General features: G+C 44.1%; 2 annotated features.

The window, feature by feature from the left end:
• Positions 13,992–14,828: an enhancer, noted in NCBI's record as "H3K4me1 hESC enhancer chr20:58089356-58090192 (GRCh37/hg19 assembly coordinates)". NCBI's record gives its function as "activates a minimal SCP1, AML or CMV promoter by ChIP-STARR-seq in naive H9 embryonic stem cells {active_cell/tissue: H9 hESC(naive)}" and the evidence as "EXISTENCE:reporter gene assay evidence [ECO:0000049][PMID:30033119]".
• Positions 14,829–15,664: an enhancer, noted in NCBI's record as "H3K4me1 hESC enhancer chr20:58090193-58091028 (GRCh37/hg19 assembly coordinates)". NCBI's record gives its function as "activates a minimal SCP1, AML or CMV promoter by ChIP-STARR-seq in naive H9 embryonic stem cells {active_cell/tissue: H9 hESC(naive)}" and the evidence as "EXISTENCE:reporter gene assay evidence [ECO:0000049][PMID:30033119]".

The raw sequence follows: 19,826 nt of genomic DNA on the forward strand, positions 1-19,826 counted from the left end.
AATGATACAGTAAACATATAAGATACCTCCAAAAGGTATGGAAAAGTAGAAAATATTTGACTGTCTAAAGCAAAAATAGTAAAAATATTGTGTGGCCTATAACATACATACAAATAAAGTTTAGAACAAAGGAAAGGCAGCACAAAAAATGGGAGGGAATGTACATACAATGTGGTAAGGCTCTTACCCTATCTGGGAAGTGGTATAACATTATTTGAAGGTAGGCAATGGTAAGTTAAAAATGTATATTATAAACCCTAGGGTAACCACTACAAATTGAAACAGTGAGGTGTAATTGATTACTTCAAATAGGACATTTTTTAAAAGATAAGAGACATAAATCTAACCACATTGATAATACATTAAGTGACAATAACCTAAATACTCCAATTAAAAGGCAAAAAGCAAGACTCAACTATTTTCTCTCTACAAGAAATTTACTTTAGCTATAGAACTGTTAAAAGTAAAAGGATGAAAAAAGACCTACCGTGAGAACATTACTCAAAAGAAAGCAGGACTGACTATATTAACATCAAGCAGTGTAGATTTCAGAACAAAGAACATCAGGAACAAAAAGGGACATGGCAAATGTTAAAGGAGGCAATTCATTGAGAAGATGTAACAATCCTAAATCTGTATACACCAAATAAAAGAGCTTCCAATTACATAAGGCAAACATTGAAAGAACTGAAAGGAGAAATGGACAAAACCAAAATGTTTTGAGTCGAGTAAAGGCAAATCCAACCACGTGGCTGATGCACGCTGTCCCTGCCACCCGTTTCTGTCTCAACTCTCTCCTCCACAACCTAGAGTTTCCACCAGCCCAGGGCCCCATGTGACATCAAGGGATTATGTCAAGTTTTGGAAGAAAACGAGGGCAGCTTTCTGCAGGATAATAATAATAGCAGATATTTCTGGTGTCCTTGCACTGTGCCAGCTATTATTATGTCCTTTGCTTGAATTTCCTCATTTCATCTTCAAAACAATCCTGTGTGTTCAATCCTATTTACCACAGTTTTACAGATGACGAGACTGCAGCACCAAGAAGTTAAGGAATGAGCCCAAATTGCCAGGAAGACAGAGGAGCTTAACTGCTGGACAGGGCTACACTGCCCTTCTTTTTTTTTTTTTTTTTTTTTTGAGACGGAGTCTCACTCTGTCGCCCAGGCTGGAGTGCAGTGGCGCGATCTCGGCTCACTGCAAGCTCCGCCTCCCGGGTTCATGCCATTCTCCTGCCTCAGCCTCCCCAGTAGCTGGGACTACAGGTGCCCGCCAACATGCCCGGTTAATTTTTTGTATTTTTAGTAGAGATAGGCTCTCACCGTGTTAGCCAGGATGGTCTCGATCTCCTGACCTCGTGATCCGCCTGCCTCGGCCTCCCAAAGTGCTGGGATTACAGGCGTGAGCCACCGTGCCCGGCAATGCCCTTTTTTTTGTGAAAATATACAGAAAGGTGATATTTTCAATGTTAAATGCATAAATGTTAAAATAAATGTATCATTTCGTAGAATACAAATCTGATGGCATTTTTAAGAAAAATTATGAACATCCTCTTAGGAGAAAGCAAGAAATCTAGGAACACCAAGGATCCTGTCTTGCTCACCTCAGGCTCCCTGAGAGAAGATGCAGCCTTCTGGGCCTTCAGGAAGATTTCTGGAGCAAAGTGTGAGGGATTCAAAGCAATTCCAATGATAAACTCTAAAGTTCTAGTGTCAAAAGTCGTCTTTCAATTGTGATTTTACATTGCAATGGAGTTTTACATTTTACATTGCAATATAAGTTTTAAACATTTTCTTGTGGAATGGCTACATGGTGCATTTCCCAGGGTCTGCAGACTCCTATGAAGAAATACTGAGATACGTGGCCAGGCACAGTGGCTCACACCTGTAATCCCAGTGCTTTGGGAAGCCGAGATGGGCGGATTGCTTGAGCCCAGGAGTTCCAGACTAGACTGGGCAACATGGCGAAACTCCACCTCTACAAAAAATAAAAATAAAATATTGAGATAAGAGATTCAAGTAAGATAAGATTGTTTGCTTATTGGAAAATAAGCAAACAAATGTTTAGAAGCACAAACTCCCCACATCAGCATCCTTACTTTTATTGTATATGGCTGCTGTTGTTTTCTCTATTTGTCCCAGGTCACTCCCTTGCTCTGCCTGGTCCTAATGGGCAGGACAGTGTCTGTCCACTTAGAGCAGAGGCTGTTGATGTGACATCCTTCCACCGTTCTCTCCTTTTTGGCCCTCATCAGTGATATGATCAATCATCATCTTCCCACCCACTGGGCGGAGTCCTGCCCTCCAAGCTTGCACTCCCTATTTGTCCTCCAAAGCTAGATGATGCTCTTCTATTCCCATGCTCCTATCTGGTATGATCTGATCAAACATTTCATAGCACAGGTGTGTGATTTGTATAAATTAATGAACCTTTCCAGACCTCTGTGTCTTTTATCAAATAAGAGAAACACTCCTATTATTCAAGATCTAACAGGAGCGCGAGAAGACTTCCTGCAGTCCCTGGCACATAATAGCCCCCGTACAAATGCAAGCTCATGTTTAATCAAATCACCTTTTTTTTTTTTTTTTTGCGTGTTTCAGGCTCACTCTTCATTCAAAGAGGGTTCAGAGACACACAGTAGCACATAAATTAGAACAGCACAACAGAGATTTGGAAAGAGTGAGAAAGGAGAGACAAAGGGAATGAAAACCAGGGTCAGGTTTTCCATGAAATGGACCGGAGGTGAGGCTGGGGTACAGAACGTCCACCGTGCAGCCCCGAGCACTAGCCAGAGGGGCTGGGCTGCCTGGGCTCCAAGATCCTGCCTTGGACACTGTGCACACGTCCAAGCATGTCCCCGGGGTTCTTGGCCACATTCTGGGCTTATGTAAAGTTACAAGACAGACCTGATGCACCTTATACCTCAAAGCTCCTAAACTTAAAAATGTAGCCTGGCGTGGTGGCTCATGCCTGTAATCCCAGCATTTTGGGAGGCTGAGGCTGGCGGATCACGAGGTCAGGAGATCGAGACCATCCTGGCGAGCACCATGAAACCCCGTCTCTAGTGAAAATACAAAAAAAAATTAGTCGGGCATGGTGGCAGGCGCCTATAGTCCCAGCTACTCAGGAGGCTGAGGCAGCAGAATGGCATGAACCCAGGGGGTGGAGCTTGTAGTGAGCGGAGATCACGTCACTGCACTCCAGCCTAGGTGACAGAGCGAGACTCCGTCTCAAAAAAATATATATATACATGAATAAATATCTTCTATATCTGTATATCAGTTTTTGTATTCAAAGTAGCAGGCATATAATAGGGAGTAAAATATTAGTGCCCCTTACAACTTAAGGCACAAGAAGAACAATTCTAAGAAACCTAATTCCTGCACCCCAACCTTGATCCTGTGAACCAGGCCTCTGAGAGTTCCTGGTAGTTTTCCTCTGTCCCCCTTAGAAGGTCTCTGGAGGGACTTGGGGGAATTCTATGGTGACCATGCTTCTTGGGGGTATGCTGACTGGAGGAGTCAGTGCCTAGAAGTGAACACAACTGGTGGGAAGCGTTCCCCTTCCTGTTTATTTCTGTACCAGCTTGTCACCTCTGTTATTGTGCCCCTCTTCTCCTTCTCATCCACTCCACAGTTTTGATGCCATTTTGTGCCCTAACCCTCACCACCCCCGGCTGTGTTCCAGCCTCTAGGAGACAATCAATGGTTCTTTCCTCTAGAAAATAATAATGCAACCATGGTGGTGTGTCTGAATTATATGGTATGTGCAGGAGGTGCTTTTAAAATATGTTGATACTTAGAACCCTTCCCTAGCGATTCTTATTTAATTGTGCTGGTGTTAACTGGTATAGACTTTTAAAAAAATCAACCCGATTGATTCTATTTTATAGCTTGGGTCAAGAAATACTATCCCAGAGCAAAATAGACACAATAAGCAGCTTGTATACCACCTCCCTCTTGCAAGACAGACATCTCTAATCAATCACTGTGCTTGGCAGAATTCTAAGATGAGCCCCATGATCTCTGTCCCTTGGTGTTATACCTTGAATAATCTCCTTCCCTTCAGTCTGTGGAGAACTGGTGACTTGCTTCTGGTCAACAGAACATGGCAAAGGTGATGCGCTGTCATTCCCTTCATAAGGTTACGTTATTTTCAGGCGGGAAAGAGACTCCCCAGCTGGCCTTGAAGAAGCAAGCAGCCATGTTGTGAGCTGCTTCCCAAGCAAGTCACAGGGCAGAGAGCTGCAGGCACCTCTAGGGACCTGAGGGCTGACCACCTGTAAGCAACTGGAGTCCTCAGCCGCACAACCAAAGGGACATAAATTCTGCTGATCATCATGTCAGTGAGCCTGGAAGTGGATTCTTCCCTAGTTGAGTCTCCAGTTGAGAACTCAGCCCAGTGAGGCCTTGGTTGCATGCCAGTGAGACCCTAAGCAAAGAACCCAATGAAGTTGTGCCCAGACCCCTGACCCATGGAATCTGTGAGATAATAAATGAGTGTTGTTTTAAGCTGTTAGATTTGTGGCAATTTGTTATACAGCATACTATATGGATACAGTAATGAACGTCATCACCTAGGACAGGAGGAGGCCCTGCAGTCTTTAGCACTCCAGTCCAAGAAGCTATGACCACTAGCTAAATGTGGCCTCTGAGATGAAATCTGTTGAAATTTGTATTAGTTTCCCATTGTTGCTATAACAAATTACTGCAAACTGAGTGGCTTAAACAATACGCATGTATTATCTTACAATTCTGGAGGTCAGAAGCTTGAAATGGGCCTCAAAGGGCTGAAATCAATGTTGGCCGAGCTGTAGTCCTTTCTGGAGGCCCTAGAGGAGAACCTATTTTCTTGCTTTTTCCAGCTCCTGGAGGCTCCTCACAGTCCTAGGCTCATGGCCCCTTCCTCCATCCTCAAAGCTGGCAATGGCAGGCCATGTCTCCCTCAAACCACATCACATCACTCTGACATTGCTGCCTCTTCTGTCTCTCTCTTCACTTTTGAAGACCCTTGTGACTGGCTACATTGACCCAACTGATAATCCAGGATACTTCTCCTGTCTTAAGGCTTAATTAATTCCCCTTTGCTATGTAACTGAACATACTCAAGGATTTCAGAGATTAGGACACGGACTTTTGGGGTGCCTTCTGCAGCACCCCAACCCTGAATAAAGAATGTACTCATCATCCCCCTTTCACTGCATAACCCCTGCCCCCAGAGGGCTTGGCCTGCAGCTTTATGCCTGTTGTCCTGGCATAATCATTAGCAGCGCCTCACTTCTCCAAAATGTCTATAAACTGTATAGTCCACCCTTTTTGAGTACTAGAAGTTCTCAATATAGCCAATGATTCCTTAATGACATCAATATCCAGTTAATGCTGCATTCCTCTGATGGTTCCAAGTGATTTTTTTAATTTTCAAATCAGGACCCAAATAAGCTTTCATCCCAATTTGTTGATATGTTTCTACAGTCTCTTAATCTGTAATCAATAATCCCTTTCAATATGTTGTGAACAAAAGTTCTCTGAAAAAGAATTTGGAGGAAAGAGACTTTATCTTAGTGAATAGTTTGCAAACCAGGGAGTCACAACCTTCCGGGTAAAATGAAAGATGCTTTACAGAGAACAAAGGGAGGGTTGGCTTTTATAGAGAAAGTTCTCAATCAGGTCCATTTATGTAAAAGAAGGATTCAAACTAGCTTAGTTCTGATTCGTCAACACAGCTGAGTTCTGATTGGCCAATATAACTGAGCTCTCATTGGTCAAGCCAGGTGGGCTCTGATTAGTTGGCTGGGGTTAGCTCTGAAAGTCACAAAGTAAAACAGAGGTGTGGGTTTTGGGGGAACTTGGAGTACACGTGTGGCCTCTACTGAGCAAATGACTGCCTGGCTCTATTTTAAATGTAGGCCCAGTTAGCCACTCAAGATCCTCTTGAAGGACTGGCTCTTTCAGGTTCACATTTGTTCACACTTGATTTTAACAAAATCAGATCATTTGTCCAGAAAGTTTCCCACATCTGGACTTTGCTAACCACACACTGTGTGGTTTTGTGTTTGTTTGTTTGTTTGTTTTTGAGATGGAGTTTCCCTCTTGTTGCCCAGGCTGGAGTGCAATGGTGTGATCTTGGCTCACTGCAACCTCCACCTCCCAGGTTCAAGCGATTCTCCTGCCTCAGCCTCCCAAGTAGCTGGGATTACAGGTGCCCACCGCCACACCTGGCTTTTTTTTGTGCGTGTGTATTTTTAGTAGGACAGGGTTTCACCATGTTGGCCAGGCTGGTCTCGAACTCCTGACCTCAAGTGATCCCCCCACCTTGGCCTCCCAAAGTGCTGGGATTACAGGCGTGAGCCACTATGCCCGGTGCCCTCCCATGTGGTTTTTAAACACACACTTTCCTTCTCTTCCTCTTCCTCTGTTTTTTTTTTTTTTTTTTTTTTTTTTAAATAAAGTCTCACTGTGTTGCCCAGGCTGGAGTGCAGTGGCACGATCCTGGCTCACTGCAGCCTCCGCCTCCCAGGTTCCAGCAATTCTCCTGCCTCGGCCTCCCGAGTAGCTGGGATTACAGGCATGCACCACTATGCCCAGCTAATTTTTGTATTTTTAATAGAGATGGGATTTCACCATGTTGGCCAGGCTGGTCTCGAACTCCTGACCTCAGGTGATCCACCTGCCTCGGCCTCTCAAAGTGCTGGGATTACAGGTGTAAGCCACTGTGCCCGGCTGACTTTTAAACACATTCTTCTGTTCTCTGTATTTCCATATTTCCTGTAAATGGATAGCTATGCCCAGAGGCTAGATTATGTTCAAGTTTGATTAGTTTTTTTTTTTTTTGGAAGTGGGGAAACAAAAGTACTTCCTAGGAGGAGTGATCTACACCCATCGGGAGCATATCCTGCCTGTCTCTCCTTTTCTGATGTTTGGAGCCATATACAGCTACTGCCTAAATCTGTTAACTTAATCAGGGGTCACAACATAGCAATATTTTAATTCTATCAATTCTTCACTTATTACTTGGAGCTATAATGCTTTTATAAAGATACATTTTTCTTCACTGTTTGGTTATCATGTGGTATAGTTTGTATAAGAAAAGCAGGAAGATGATTGAACCTTTTTTTTTTTAAATCAATTTCCAAAATATTGAGTTGGATCCTTAAAACATGATCAATGAGGTTTTTTTTAGTAAAATTATGGTTTTTTAATTTAAACATTGTATGTGTGTCTCCATTCATGGCAGTTATCACTGTTAGTGGTTGCTTACCTTAGCCTGTCTTTGGTGGGATTTATCCAAGTTGACACCTGGGTCTCTCAGATACCACCTTAGTAGGCTTTGATAATGTCCTCACTTCCTGTTATGATAAAATGCTCCAAGATTATCTGGAACATTTCTTGCCTGAGACAAATAATCAGTTATTTCTCTAAGGAATCCTGGTTCCTTTTAGAGAAAAATGAAGTAGCGACCACAATCTATGTGCTGGGAGTATGCATTGCTACTGCAGTGGTCATTGTTTCTAGGCCTTGTCAGAGGATAAAACTAGGAAATATATATATATATATATATGATAAAATATATCCTGAGTTTATACTGATCCTTTATAATTAGATTCAGAATTCTTGGGACTTACTGAACCTCATTGATCTCACGTCTGCATCTTCTTCCTCCTACTCTAAAGACTTCAGCGGCCAGTGGCAAAGTAATTATCCCATTGCTTTCTCCTGCAATCTACCCAAGACACTGCCACAATGGAACACAGCATTACCAGCAAAATCAGTGTCACTAAAATCAGTTTAGGTTTTTTTTTCATGTTCTTTTTGATTTAACTTACTAGGAACATACAGTCAAATATCTGTGTTTTAAAGTCAACCGGGAGAGTCCCTATGTCTGGCTATTCTACCAACGATACAGTGTTAAGTTTAGTTGTTTCAGCTTGACTGCAATTATTAGGGATTGCTTTTAAAAAATGTATATAATTTCATTACTATTTATGAATTAATCTTATATAATTAGAACTGATTTTACATAATTATGTCAAAATATTTGCATGGCTCTAGAGTCATGTTTACTGACAGGATATACCCTGAGCAGTCCGGCTCCCATTCCTGCCCCTTCTACACTGGTCCTTGACTCTTTCTGCAAGTAGATATATTTTAAACATTTTTGGTTTATTCTTCCTTTTAAAAAGATAGGACGGGTGCGGTGGCTCACGCCTGTAATCCCAGCACTTTGGGAGGCCGAGGCGGGTGGATCACGAGGTCAGGAGATCGAGACCATCCTGGCTAACATGGTGAAACCCCATCTCTACTAAAAATACAAAAAAATTAGCTGGGTGTGGTGGCAGGCACCTGTAGTCCCAGCTATTCAGGAGGCTGAGGCAGGCGAATGGCGTGAACCCGGGAGGTGGAGCTTGCAGTGAGCCAAGATTGTGCCACTGCACTCCAGCCTGGGAGACAGAGTGAGACTCCATCTCAAAGATAGGCAAGTGTGTTTCTGTCTTAGTCTGTTCAGCCTGCTATCACAGAATATCGTAGACTAGGTGGCTTATAAACAACAGAAATGTATTTCTCAGAGTACTGAGCTGGGAAGTCTGAGGTCAAGGCACTGGCAGACTCAGGGTCTGATGAGGGCCACTTCCTCATTCATAGATGGCTGTCTTGTCACGTGGTGAAAGGGGCAAGAGAGCTCTCTGGTGTCTCTTTTCCAAGGGCACTAATTCCATTCATGAGGGATCTGCCCTCTTGGCCTCATCATCTCCCACCTCCAAATACAATCACATTGGAGATTAGGTTTTAAATAGAAAGTTTAGAGCGGCACAAACTTCAATGTGTAGCAACACGTGCGCGCACACACACACACACACACACATATTTATATCCCACCTTCTTAGATAAATAGAATGTCATATGGCCGGGTGTGGTGGCTCATGCCTGTAATCTCAGCACTTTGGGAGGCCGAGGCAGGTGGATCACCTGAGGTCAGGAGTTCAAGACAAGCCTGACCAACTTGGTGAAACACTGTCTCTACTAAAAGTACAAAAATTAGCTGGGTGTGGTGGTGCATGCCTGTAATCCCAGCTACTCGGGAGGCTGAGGCAGGAGAATCCCTTGAACTCAGGAGGCGGAGGTTACAGTGAGCCGAAATCATACCATTGTTCTCCAGCCTGGGCAACAAGAGTAAAACTCAGTCTCAAAAAAAAAAAAAATACCATACATACTTTCTCCCACTTGGCATTTTTCAATGAATAACACTGGAGTCACTCCATAGCTATATGTAAAAACACTCATTCCTTTTTCTGCTGAATGATCCTCCATTGTGTGGGTGTACCATAGTATATTCAACCAGTCCCCTCTTCATGGGCATTTAAATTGTTTCCAGGTATTGCCAAAAAAAGAAAGCTGCAGCGATTAGCCTTATACAAATACCTTTTTATATTTTTGCCCATGAATCTTTAGAATGAACTCTTAGAAGTGGGATTGTTCGGTTAAAGGATAAAATGAATATACCATTTTTTCTTTAAAAAAATGTCGGCAGGGTGCAGTGGCTCACACCTGTAAGCCCAGCACTTTGGGAGGCCAAGGCAGGAGGATCACTTGAAGCCAGGAGTTCAAGACCAGCCTGGGCAACATAGGGAAACCCTGTCTCTACAAATATAATAAAAAATTAGTGGAGCGTGAGGATATGTACCTGTAGTACCAGCTACTCAGGAGGCTGAGGTGAGAGGATCACTTGGGCCCAGGAGGTTGAGGCTGCAGTGAGCCATGATTGTGCTACTGCATTCCAGCCTGGGTGACAGAGCAAGATGCTGTCTCAAAAAAAAAAAAAAAATAGAAATGCTTTCTCATTCTATTTTTCTTTCCCACCAGTGATGTATAGGAATGTCTGTTTCACAGTGTTTTCAACAGAGAATGAAGTCCAACTTTTGGATATGAGACAAATGGACTAAAGAGAAATGGTATATTAATTTTAATCAGGATTTCTCTTCTTCTGAACAAGCTTGGGCCACATTGTTTATTGAGGGCCATTTGCAATTTTTGGTGCCTATTCTTAAGCTCCTTCTGTTGTATAACCATCATCCTTCTCCCCTGCATATACTATTTCACCCCCAGTGCAGACCTGTCATCTAGGTGTTGGGATGACTCACATGCTGGATTCGGGTAGTTGCTTCCTTGGGCTGCAACTTAAACCTTCCCTGTGTATTCTGCAGCTTGTAGAGATATGTAGATCAGAAGTTTATTAGAGGCAACTCACTTTGGTTTTGTTTTTTGTTTTTTAAAGTCTGAGGCACAGCAATAGCATTTATTTAATTCATATTATTCTATAGGTAATTTTAATGACATTTTTCAGTGGCTCACACCTGTAATCCCAGCACTTTGGGAGGCTGAGGCGGGCAGATCACGAGGTCAGGAGATCGAGACCATCCTGGCTAACACAGTGAAACCCCGTCTCTACTAAAAATACAAAAAAATTAGCCGGGCATGGTGGTAGGTGCCTGTAGTCCCAGCTACTTGGGAGGCTGAGGCAGGAGAATGGCGTGAACCCGGGAAGCGGAGTTTGCTGTGAGTCGAGATCTTGCCACTGCACTCCAGCCTGGGTGACAGAATGAGACTCCGTCTCAAAAAAAAAAAAAAAAAAAGAAAGTTGTCATTCATAAATCTTGAAGTGTGAAGAACTAATTGTCCCTAATCATTAAATATTAGTGATTATTACCAGATCTATTTATTTTTTAATTAAATTTTTTTTTATTTCCATAGGTTATTGGGGAAAAGGTGGTGTTTGGTTACATAAGTAAGTTCTTTAGTGGCGATGTGTGAGATTTTGGTGCACCCATCGCCCCAGCAGTATACACTGCACCCTGCACCCTATTTGTAGTCTTTAATCCCTCACCCCCTTCCCACCCTTTCCCCCTGAGTCCTCCAAGTCCACTGTGTCATTCTTAAGCCTTTGCATCCTGATAGCCTAGCGCCTACTTAGGAGTGAGAACATATAATAGTTGGTTTTCCATCCCTGAGTTACTTCACATAGAATAACAGTCTCCAGTCTTATCAAGGTCTCTGTGAATGCCATTCGTTCGTTCCTTTCGATAGCTGAGTAGTATTCCATTATATATATATATATATATATGTGTTTCTTTATCCACTTGTTGATTGATAGGCATTTGTGTTGGTTACACGTTTTTGCAATTGCAAATTGTGCTGCTATAAACATGCGTGTGCGAGTATCTTTTTTGGATAATGACTTGTTTTCCTCTGGGTAGATGGCCAGCAGTGGGATTGCTGGATCAAATGGTAGATCTACTTTTAGTTCTTTAAGGAACCTCCGCATTGTTTTCCATAGTGGTTGTGCTAGTTTACTTTCCCACCAGCGGCGTAGAAGTGTTCCCTGTTCACCGCATCCATGCCACTTTGTAGGGCATCTTTCCTAGGTGGGCTTTGCCCCACAGGGCGTGTGGCTACGTCATTTCACCTTCAGTGATGCTGAACATGAGCAGTTGGTTCGCACATTGGTGGCCTGGGCCTGATGGAGCCAGTGTCATGGTCCCACCAACATTTCACTTCCACAATTGAGCATCCATTGATAACTCTCACCTAGATCTGTCATTCTCTTTGAAATCATTAGCCAGCATTCTCTCTTACCACCAATTTGGTTACCCTGAGATTTTCATATAGGAAAGTCCAGATAAATATCTTATTCTTTCTTGTTATTTATCATTTTTCAGAATAATGCAATGAAGGATAGTATTTAGAGGGTAAAATCTGGGTGTTAGGTGTGTGCTCACTTTAAAATACTGCCAAGTTGTATTTTTCTAAAGCATTTTAGTAGACAGAGAATGAAGAAAATATCAAAAAATATCAATTTAACCTCATAATATTTTTTAAAATATTTCTATATTTAAAATATTGATATGTTGATATTAATTGATATTTTCAAGTTCAACTGTAAGATTATAAGGTATTCCTCAATTTCTTTAACATTTTCACTTCTTTTCTCTTTAGGCTGAAAATCTTGGTTCCTAACAACATTAATATAATCACTTGCTTGATCCTGTAACTGTTTCAAAATAACCATGCCAATCATAACTCATTTTAAAATTTTTAGGTGTTTTCCTTTTTAGAATACGTCCTATTAGGCATAGCTCACAAAAACTGTGTTTTTAAAGTCAGTTGAACCCGTGATACTTTCCATGTGGTGATGCTACCACCAGTCTGATAGAATTTTAGATTCATTTGTTTCTTTTTGTTTTCAAATTTCAGATTGCTTTTCTACTACCCATATTTAATATTGCTTTGTAGTTATACAAAAACATGTACATGGTTCCAAAACCAACGTTATATAAAAATTACATTCAGAGAAGTTTGCATCCTCCCTGTGTCCTCCACTCCAATCCATCGCTCTGCCACAATTCGCCATTTACTAGATTTTGGCTGGTCTTTCCACTGCTTATTTTCATGATGCAAGGGACTAAGTAAATCCATTTATATTTCTCTTTTGCATGATTCCTTTTATATTTTTCCAGTATTTCTTTGGAGAGAGTCTTAGAAGTAAGATCAATTGGCAAAGAATAAATGCGCATGGAATTTTCCGGTGAGTTGCCAAGTTCCACTCTATTAGGGATTTGCATTCTCACCAGACGGATAAAAGACTGACTGTTTCTACACAGTGTGCAATCCAAGTACTGAGATTTTTTCAATTTAATAAGTGGCCATTTTAAGTTGTATTTCTCATATTATTAATAAAGATGAGCATGTTTCCATACAATTGAGGGCCATTTACATTTCTTTTCTTGTGGATTCTTTGTTTATATCTTTTGCTTGATTTGAAAAATTTGATTTTTGCTCGAATTCTTCTTTGCTTATGGCTGTTTTCTGTATAATACAAATATAATGATTTTGACATTGTTCCATGTTTTATATATTAACATTTTCTTTATTTTTATAGCTGAGTAGATTTGGACATGCCACAATTTGTTTGCTTGCTAGTGGTTGGAGATTTGAATTGCTTCCAATTTGGGGCTATTAGGAATAATTCTGAACACAAGTAATTCATATACCCTTGTAAGTGTGTGTGTGTGTGTCTACGTAAGTCTTCATTTCTCCTGGGTAAGCACCTAGCAGTAGAATCACGGGGTGGGTGACTAATCCATGTCTGACTGTAAAAGGTGATCAATGAATGAATGACTGTATAAGGTGATCAATGCCTGTTTGACTGTACAAGATACTGCCATGCTATTTCCAAGGGACTACACCATTTTGCATTCTCATCAACAATGTAATGGATCTATTATTAATTTTCATAGAGTAACACAAACATATTTGCGAATTAAGTTTTGATTTCCCACACAGTATAATATCTCTATCTGTCTACACTGAATAAGCACATATGTATCTCCTGCATAAACCAAAGCTTTTTTCAATCCTCAACACATTTGAAGAGTGCAAAGTGGTCACAAGACCCCACTATTAGGAACTTCTCTTTCAGAGCAGCATTTAGAGATGGAAGGTGTCTGTTTTCTAGCAGCCGCGAGGGGTACCCATGATCACTTCTGCGTTTCTCTAACTGAGCAAAGTTCATTTTAAAGGACACAAATCCTCAAAGACCCCCAGAACACGTCCCAGGACACCACTTGAAAAGCACCAATTCAAGAATATAAAATTCTGGACTATAAAAATCTCTTTCAGTGGTGCATTAGCACTGCTACAGTGCGATTTTGTCATTAGATGCTAAAGCTGTTTTATTGGTTTTTTTTGTTGGTTTTTTTGTTTGTTTTGTTTTGAGATGGAGTTTCGCTCTTGTTGCCCAGGCTGGAGTGTAATGGTGCAATCTCAGCTCACTGCAACCTCTGCCTCCCGGGTTCAAGCAATTCTCCTGCCTCAGCCTCCCAAGTAGCTGGAATTACAGGCATGCACCACCACACCCAGCTAATTTTTTATTTTTGTTTTCTGATAGAGATGGGGTTTCACCATGTTGGTCAGACTGGTCTCTAAGTCCTGACCTCAGGTGATTTGCCCGTCTTGGCCTCCCAAAGCACTGGGATTGCAGGCGTGAGCCACCACTCCTGGCCTAAAGCTGTTTTTTATTGTTGCTGTTTTATATTTTTCATCACAAACTGCAAAAGTAAAAATTTTCTACTGCCCCTCCTATCCCCAATATTCCCCCATGTCCCCAATGGATGTGAAAATGCAAATTACAGAAATGCAAACTTGCACAATTCAGCATCCCTAAGGTAAAAACAGACTAATTGTTCTGGAGCAACACAGCCTGTCCATACTTGCTGCAGGTCACAGCCCTCAACCCTGCTGTGTGGCAGGCAGCCCCTCCTGCACTAGGAGAGGCTGGGAGACCTCTATCTGCAGCCCATGCATTAGTCATCCAGGACTCCACCTGGACGAGGGCAGTTCCTGAGCTGTGCAGCCTGGGCCCTCCCTGTGCGCCTGTGCTCTTGCAAATGGAGAGGGTGGCTCTGCCTGCAGCACGGGTACCATCCAAGGCCAGGGCCAGGGCCAGAGTGCACAGTGGGGAGTCCTCAAAGCAGGTGAGGACCTGAAGTATATGGGCTGCAGGGCAGGCAAACCCCGAAACTGGGGCTTAGCCTGAAAAGGTCTGGCTTTACCCAGGAAAGAATTCAGGGCTGAGCTGGAGGCGTAGTGCTAAGCTCTGTGACTGCTCCTACACAGCAGGTCTACCCACCAGGCAGTGTGTGGAAAGCAGCAGCTGTGGGGCAGTGGTGCCGCCATATTTATACCCACTTTTAATTACATGCAAAGTAAGGGGCGGGTTATTTAGAAATTTCTAGAAAAAGGGTGATAACGTCCAAGTGTTGCCATGGCAACGGTAAACTGTCATTGTGCTGGTGGGCGAGTCTCATGCAAATGAGCTTTTGCCTGTTCCATGTTTCAGCCAGTCTTCACTCTGGTTGGGAGTCAAGTCCCGCCTCCTATATCGCATTCATACTCAGCAGCTTTAGGCGCTGAGTTGGATAGAGGGCGACAGAAGCTCAGAGCAGCACACACACTAGGGCAGAGGTGCAGAGAGGTGCGGTGCAGAGGGGCTGGGTGGTGGGTGAGGGGGATCTGGGCAGGAAGTTGTTCCCGCCAGGCTAGAGCGCAGGTCACCCAGGGTCCCGGCTCCACCCGGGTGGGCGCTGCAGGCTCTGAGCCGTGGCTCAGTCCGAGGGTCACTCACCCACCTCAGGGGAACTGGACGAGCCCCAGGTGACAGGAAGCTCTGTGCACACCTGGTGCCTGGCCAACCTGTAACATTTGAACATTTCAATATCCATTTCTATTTTTTTAAAACAAGCATCACCTTCTGTCAGCCATTAATATAGAATCACTATGGAGCGATGACTACATAACATTTCCACGACTTTTGGAAAGTTCCCATGAGTTTGGAAAGAGCCACCCAAGGAATCTCCTCTCCCGAGTTTGCAGCCCGCGCCTTCTGCCGGGCGTTTGGCGCATTTCTTCCAGAGAATACGGATCCGAATTATTCCAGAGGAGCCTCGGCCGCAGTCTCTCCAGCCGCCGCCAGAGGGAAACCTGATCCCATGCAGGATTCCTAGGGGCTCCCAGAGAAGCCCTAGGCTGTGCTGCTGCCTGCTGGTTCTGGGAATGGGTGAGCCTTGGGAGAGCAAAGAGAATAGAAAGTAATTCTCCATGTGTCTTCCTCCAGCTCCAATCTAGTTTAAAACCATCCCCCTATAGCCTGCTTTTTTTCCTTAAAGAATCTTCAAGCAAATCCCAGACTTTGTATGGCTTCACTTGTAAATAATTAAGTATATCTCCCCTCAAGAAAAGACTTCTTACATACTTTACGTAAACAACTTTTCCATCCTCAAACCTCACAAAATTGCCGTCAATCCCCTGCTATCATATGATGACCAGTTTTCAGCTTTTACGGCTTCTTGGAGATCTCGTAAATGCCTCCTGGCAACCGATTTGCTCAAACTCATTTCCAGACAAGACCGGTTACCAAAACACCAGGGATCCCTCTAGGACCTGATGCTCAGGGCACAGGAAGCCAATCGCTGAGACCATGGGTATTGCCAGGGAAGAAGGCTTGAAGCAGGTGCTATAGGCAAGGAGATGGGCGCTCAGTCTCAAGTCCATCTTCCCGACAGACTAAAATTAGGGTTTTATATTGTAGGGAAGAAATGTAACAATGTGTGGGAAAACAGGAACTCGGAAGGAGCCCGGAAGCAATCATGATAAATGAGGGGCCTGGCAGCATCTCCTCCTATGGACATGGTGATCTGGCGAGTTTCAGTTCTTAATACTTTTTGAGAGGCCTGGAGTCCTTTACTGAGGAAGGAACTCAGATAAAACAAATGTAAGTTTCAAGCTTTAAGACCAGAAGGGTCAATTTCTATGTGTGTATTTATATATATCTGTCTATGGGCCGGGCGCGGTGGCTCAGGCCTGTAATCCCAGCACTTTGGGAGGCTGAGACGTGCGGATCACGAGGTCAGGAGATCGAGACTATCCTGGCTAACACGGTGAAACCCCATCTCTACTAAAAAAAATACAAAAAATTAGCCAGGCTTGGTGGCAGGCACCTGTAGTCCCAGTTACTCGGGAGGTCGAGGTAGGAGAATGGTGTGAACCCGGGAGGCAGAGCTTGCAGTGAGCTGAGATCATGCCATAGCACTCCAGCCTGGGCGACAGAGCGAGACTCCGTCTCAAAAACAAACAAACAAAAAACTGTCTGTGGGACTACTGGGTTGCCTTCAGACCTATACATTTATGTTTGTTGGATAATATATTTCTAAAGAGTTTTTTACGTACGGGGTTCCTTCCTTCCTTTGTTTTCTTTCTTTCTTTTTTCTTTTTTTTTGACAGAGTCTTCCTGTGTTCCTTGGGCTCCCAGGCTGGTGTGTGGTGATGTGATCTCAGCTTGCTGCAACCTCCACTTCCCAGGCTCAAGTGATCCTTCCACCATAACCTCCCCAATAGCTGGGACTACAGGCGCACACCAACATGCATGGCTAATTTTAGTAGTTTTTGTAGAGACAGGGGTTAACCATGTTGCCCAGGCTGGTCTTGAACTCCTGGGCTCAAGGGATCCGCTCACCTCAGCCTCCCAAACTGCTGGAATTACAGGCATGGGCCACCTCGCCTTGCCCCTTCCTTTCTTCATTGCTGTTTGTTTGCTCATTTGTTAGCTGTTGGGGTTTTTGTGTTATTTTGTTTTCAGTATGACATTTATTTGGTGAGGACATTTCACACTTACGTTAGAGGGCACCTGGCTGTGAGATAACCGCCCCAACACCCCTGTATTCCTGGGAACTGGTCCTCATCAGCGCCAGGTTGGGTCCTCTGGGAAAGCCTGCAGATGGATCAGGGGTGCATTCCTGTTGCTCCACCCAGAGGCAGGAGGGTCAGGCTGTGTCTCTCTGGGCTGCTGTGATTGTCAGTGCAGTCGGATCCTTCATCATCTGTTCACCGTCCATGTTGCTGCTCATGGGGTGAGCAGCCATTCATGAACATTGCCAAGTTCCTTCCTTCCTTTCACAAGAAATTGCAAAATGGTGACGTTCTATTTGTACCATTCCTTCAGTATTTGTAAGCCAGATTCTTCTATTTATAATAACAGGAAGAACGTTTCCTCATCAATATTTGGTTTTTCTGGTATATGGTTTGGATAGGAAAGGCGGGATCAATGCTTTTCATTCCTTCAAGCTGCATCATAAAAAGGTGGTGTTCGAGCATTTTGAAAGCCCTTTTTAAAATTACAAACTCACATTCTTTTCTAAAATTGATGTGTTTCAGTCACCTGCCACCGTCATTCTTCTGGATGGTCCATGCCCTCACTCAGGCCAGGGGAGCCTCTCCAGGTCAGCTCCTGCACCCTCAGGCCAGCACCCCAGAGGTAGAGAGTGTCCTTGCCTCCTGGTCGACAAGATGCTCCTGGCTTAGCTTATGCATTTACTGCCCCAGAGTGGAATCAGCCCTTTCTTCCAGGAGACCTGGTCCAGATCTGTGGGTTCAGTGAGGGTGGAATAGAGACAGTGAGGCACCCCCAGCCCGAAGCACCTGGCAGAGAACAGACTGCTACAAACAGATGATCATACATTAATCAAATTGCCGTCGTTACACACTCACTCAAACTCCTTCCTGCACAGAAAAGGCTTCAGAGCCTCACCATGGTCCCTGAATTTCAGCAGCAGAACAGAGATTTGCAGTGGGTGAGACAGGGAAGGCACAGAGGGTGAAACAAGAATCTGGGCAGGAAGGGGTCCCAGGTGTGAGGCTGCTGCGTGGCCTGCCAGCTCCAGTCCCAGGCCCTCTTGTGGGTCCCTGAGTCCCAGTACCTCTGACTGGGCTGTCACCACCAGGGCCCTTGGCTGGGTGCTGGCCACCTGTGAGGCCACGGATGAACCTTGGGCTCTCCTCACTTGTAGTAGGAAAATAATTGGAACACCACTGTTCTTCCCAATACCCAAATCCACATCCATACAGTTGAGAAGAAAACTTCCATTTCTAAGGGTGAAGTAAAGGACCGTGGATAGATGTTGGATTGCACCATACAGGGGGCTGCCCTCCTCTTCCTTTGCAGCATCCTCACTAGCCTCCCGCATTCTCAGTGGGATTGTGTCTCAATGTTGGAGAGCTCTGGAGGACATTTTGTCCAGCAAGCGCCAAGGGAAAATATAATTTAGGGAATTATCAATGCCCATGAGAATCATGAAAGATAAGCAACAGTGCTGCCCAGGACAGCCACAATTCCTGCTGGATTGTGACTGTAATTGACATTCTTATCACAGGTCTCCATCACAGCTAGCTGTCATCACTGGCATTGTCCTGCTGTGTTCTAGAATCTACACAATGCATCTGCCTTGCCCCTCAAGCCCTCATTCTACCCTAAAGCTCACCATCCAACAACCAGCATCTGTGTGAGGCCAATGCTCAGCCAAATCCACAGGCTGTGCAGTCTCAGCCTCCAGAGCTCTGCCCAGGGCACTGTCCAGCAGCCCCAGACACCTCAGCCCCAGGTGCATCTGAGCCCTCCCTCACGCTCATCACACAGCAACACCAAGCCACCTCCAACCTCTCTCCCCAGAGCCCTTGGGAAGACTCATGACCTTCCAAGTTGCACTGCAAGGGATTAGAGTGGCATCTTAATGAACCCTTTTGCTCTCTTGCACCTAGACACCTAGATGTAATTTTACACTCCAGGGCTTGTCTCCCTGGAAACACAGGTGTGATTGAGGCAAGAGCCAGCTCAGGGCAGGGAGTGCCAGAGAAACTCACACACAGGTGTTTCAGCACTGACCCAAGGCTCAGTCCTGGCCTCTCAAATTGCTGTCTGTCCCTCTGGTGGTTACCAGAAGAATTGCAGGGCTTCTGCTTTTACACCCGAGGCTCTTAAAGGGAGAAGAACCTGCAGCAGGTTCCCTGAAGGGCTGTGCAGGGGACCAGAGAGGCTTGGCTGGCAGAATATTGATGGTGCAAGCCCCTTGATCACTGACGGTGCCCCTTGTAAATGCATAAAAATGATGAAGCATTTGTGTTTTGCCTTGGGCTCAATTCTCAGCTTTTGTTTTAATATAAAAGCAATCAATTTCTCCCTGAAATCTAGTAAAATGTCCTAGGAAAATGTATGATTTTTATGTGAGAGCTGCACTAACACCCAGCCCTCAGCTCAGGACCCTGTGATGACAGAGGCTGGCCTGGAAAGGATACAGCTGGGCTGGGAGCAGGTGTTTGCCCACCTGAGCCCTTGTCCCACTTCCAGATCCTGCCTGATTTTCCCTGTTAGAATGGCTATGATCAAAAAGACATAAGAAAAGAGTTGATGATGATATGGCAAAAATGGAACCCTTGGACTCTGCTAGT

Source organism: Homo sapiens, chromosome 20 (genome assembly GCF_000001405.40).
Source record: "Homo sapiens chromosome 20, GRCh38.p14 Primary Assembly".
NCBI lineage: Eukaryota > Metazoa > Chordata > Mammalia > Primates > Hominidae > Homo > Homo sapiens.